Here is a 3797-nt window from a genome sequence, read left to right as displayed (position 1 = left end):
GGAAAATGCATATAAAAACCCTAATGGGATACCACTTAATGCACATCAGATGGCTATGTGTGTGTGTGTGTGTGTGTGTATATATATATATATATATATATACACACACACACACATATATATATATATATGAAAAATAAATGTTGAAAAGAATATGGAGAAATTGAAACCTTTCTGCTTTGGTGGTGGAAATCTATATGGTGCAGCTCCTGTGGAAACAGTATGACAATTCTTTAGGAAGTTATATGTAGAATTACCATATGATCCAAATATTCTACTTGCAGGTATATAACCAAGAGAATTGAAAGTAGAGACTCAAAAAGGTACTGGTACATGAATGTTCATTATGACATTATTCATAATAACCAAAAGTCAAAAAAATTAAATGTATATTAACAGATTAATGGACAAACTAAATGTGCCATATACATAAAATGGAATATTATTTAGCCTTAAAATCAATTATAAGATATGACAATAATAATCCTTAAAACTGTTATGCTAAATAAAATAGGTCAGATACAAAAGGACAAATATTGTGTGATTCCAGTTATGTGAAGCAACTAGAATGGTGAAATTCACAGATAACGTAAATAGTGGTTGCTACGGGTTGGGGGTATGGAGGAATGGAGAGTTGTTGTTTAATGACTAAAGAGTTTCTATTTGTAATGATGAAAAAGTTTTCTAAATAGATAGTAGTGATGAATTGACAACACTGTGAATGTGTTTAATGCCACTGAATTATTTGATTGTTATTGTTTTAATGTTTTATATATGTAAATATAGTTACATGCAAAGTTATATGTGTATATGGTTATACATTATTATACATACTGTTGTATTTTATCATTATTATGGCTTTAAAACTGCCTTAATTGCTATAAATACTATGGAATCAAGGAGAACAGACCACCATGGTTTTATTTAAGTAAGGTTTCTGAAGATCATAGGGCTGTTAACATTGGATTGAGAGAAGGGAGATTAAAAGTTCAAGAGATAAAATATAGTAGTTGAACAATGAAGTTGGAAGGCATCAAAGGCAAATGTCATCATGTAACAATTACTTTTATTTTCAAAGACACTGATTATAACTTTAAACAGAGATTGTCCAACAAGAAGACTTAACAATCCTAAATATATACGCAACCAACACTGGAGCACTCGGATTAATAAAACAAGTTCTTAGAAACTTACAAATATGCTTAGATATTTACACAATAATAGTGGAAGGCTTAAACACCCTACCAACAGTATGAGACAGATCATTGAGGTAGAAAACTGACAAATATATTTGAGACCTAAATGCAACACTTGAACAAATGAACCTAACACACATCTACAGAACATATCACCCAACAACAGAATGTACTTTCTTCTCATCTGCACATGGAACATACTCTAAGAATGGCCACATGCTTGGCCATAAAGCAATTCTCAACCAATTCAAAAATTAAAAAATATCATACTGACCACACTCTTGGACCATTGTCTCATTAGAATAGAAATCAATACAAATAAGATATCTCAAAACCATCCCTTTACAGGGAAATTAAACAACCTGCCCCTGAATAACTTTTGGGTAAAGAAAGAAACTAAGGCATTAATCAAGAAATTCTTTGAAACTAATGAAAACAAAGATAAAAATATGAAAATCTCTAGAACGCAGCTAAAATAGTATTAAGAGAAAAGTTTGTAACACTAAATGTCTACATCAGAAAATAGATATCAAATTAACAATATAATATTACAGCTAAGCCAAGTAGAAATACAACAGCAAACTAACTCCAAAGCTAGTAGAAGAAAATATAGCCAATGTTAGAGCTGAACTGAATGAAAGTAAGTCATGAAAATTTATACAGAAGATCAATGTAAACAAAAGTTGGTTTTTTGAAAGAATAAATAAGACTGATAGACCACTAGCTATACTAAAGAAGAAAACAAAAAAGAGTAGATCCAAATAAACACAATCAGAAATGACAAATCTGACATTACCACTGACCTCACAAAAATACAAAAAAAATTAATATTAACCCTTAGGAACTATAATGAACTTGTCTATGCACACAAACTAGAGAACTTAGAAGAAACTGATGAATTTCTAGAAACATTCATCCTTCCAAGATTGAACCAGGGAGAAATTAAATATCTAGACAGACCAATAACAAGTTCTGAAATTGAATCTGTAATACCTACCAATCAGAGAAAACCCTTGATCAGATTGATTCACAGCCAAATTCCACCAGACTTATAAAGAACTAGTACTAATCCTACTGACACTATTTCAAATAATTGAGGAGAGACTCCTCCACAACTAATTTTAAAAGGAAATAATTATTCTTACATCAAAACCTGGCCGACACAGAAAGGAGAAAGAAAATTTCAGGTGAGTATCTTTGATGAACATACATGCAAAAATCCTCAACAAAACACTAGAAAATCAAATCCAGCAGCACATCAAAAAGTAATTTGCCACAATCAAGTAGGCTTTATTCCTGGGATGCAAGGTTGGTTCAACACATACAAATAAATAAATTGGATTTATTGTATAAGGAAAACTAAAAACAAAAACCCTATGATCATCTCAGTAAATCCAGAGGAGTGTTTTGATAAAATTCAATATTCCTTTCTGTTAAAAAATTCTCAGCAAACTGGGTTTTGAAGAAGCATACCTCGAAATAATACAAGCCACTTATGACAAATCCACAGCCAACATTATACTGAATGGGCAAAAGCTGGAAGCATTGCCCTTGAGATCCGGTACCAAACAAGGACGCCGTCTCTCACTGCTCCTATTCAACATAGCACTGGAACTCCTAGCCAGCCAGAGCAAACAGGCAAAAGAAAGAAATAAAAGACATCCAAACAGAAACACAGGAAACCAAAGTGTCTCTCTTAACAGAAGATATAATTATATATCTAGAAAACTCCATAGTCTCTTTCCATTTCACTATCAGCATTTTGGTCAAAACCGATAAACAAGCGTCTAGGAAGTTACAAACTTTCCCACATTTTCCTTCTTCTCAGTCCTCCAAACTGTGCCAATCTCTGCCTGTTATCCAGTTCCAAAGTCGTTTCCACATTTTCAGGTTATCTTTATAGCAGTGCACCACTGCCGGTACCAATTCTCTGTATTAGTCCATTTTCACACTGCTATAAAGAAACTATTTGAGACTGGGTAATTTGTAAAAGAAAACAAAAAAAAAGGAGGAAAGACGAAGGAAGAATGGGAAGGAATTTGTCTTGTAGTTTGGGTGCTGGCTCACCTCCAGTAGAATATACCACTAGTTAGCTTTCTAAGGTTTTCAACTCCAGGCTCTGGCTTCTCTATGGCATCTCTGGACCTACTCAGGGCCTGGGGCAACTTGCCACTCTGAAGGGAAGGTCACCAGACTGGCAGGCTCCACCACCTGCTGATTGCAGAGCCTTAGGGCCCTGAGCAAACATAGGAAGAGGCCAGGTAGTGTTTATACCAGACCTTGCACAAGACCCAGTGTTGTGCTGGCTTCAGATTTGACTCAGCATACACCCAGGGGTGGTGGCCAGAGAGGTGCCTGTGTTACTCCTCTCACAGCTCCAGGCAGCTCGACAGAGAGAGAGAGGCTCTGTTTGTTGGGCAGAAAGTAAGAACAAGAGTCTCTGCCTGGTAATCCAGAGAATTATTCTGGATGTTAATTAAAACTACCAAGGCAGTATTTCTATGAGTCTGTAAAAAACACAATGTTTCTGGGCTTGGGGTGATCCCTAATGCACATATGGCTACAGTGACCGAAAATTTAGATGACAACACCCAAATCCCT

General features: G+C 34.9%; 1 annotated feature.

The window, feature by feature from the left end:
* Positions 3268-3562: an enhancer, noted in NCBI's record as "tiled region #3371; HepG2 Activating DNase matched - State 9:DNaseU". NCBI's record gives its function as "activates a minimal TATA promoter and a strong SV40 promoter by Sharpr-MPRA in HepG2 cells {active_cell/tissue: HepG2}" and the evidence as "EXISTENCE:reporter gene assay evidence [ECO:0000049][PMID:27701403]".

This window comes from Homo sapiens, chromosome X (assembly GCF_000001405.40).
Source record: "Homo sapiens chromosome X, GRCh38.p14 Primary Assembly".
Taxonomy (NCBI): domain Eukaryota; kingdom Metazoa; phylum Chordata; class Mammalia; order Primates; family Hominidae; genus Homo; species Homo sapiens.
The sequence above is the reverse complement of the archived record's forward strand: the minus strand, read 5'-3'. Positions and strand labels throughout refer to the sequence as shown.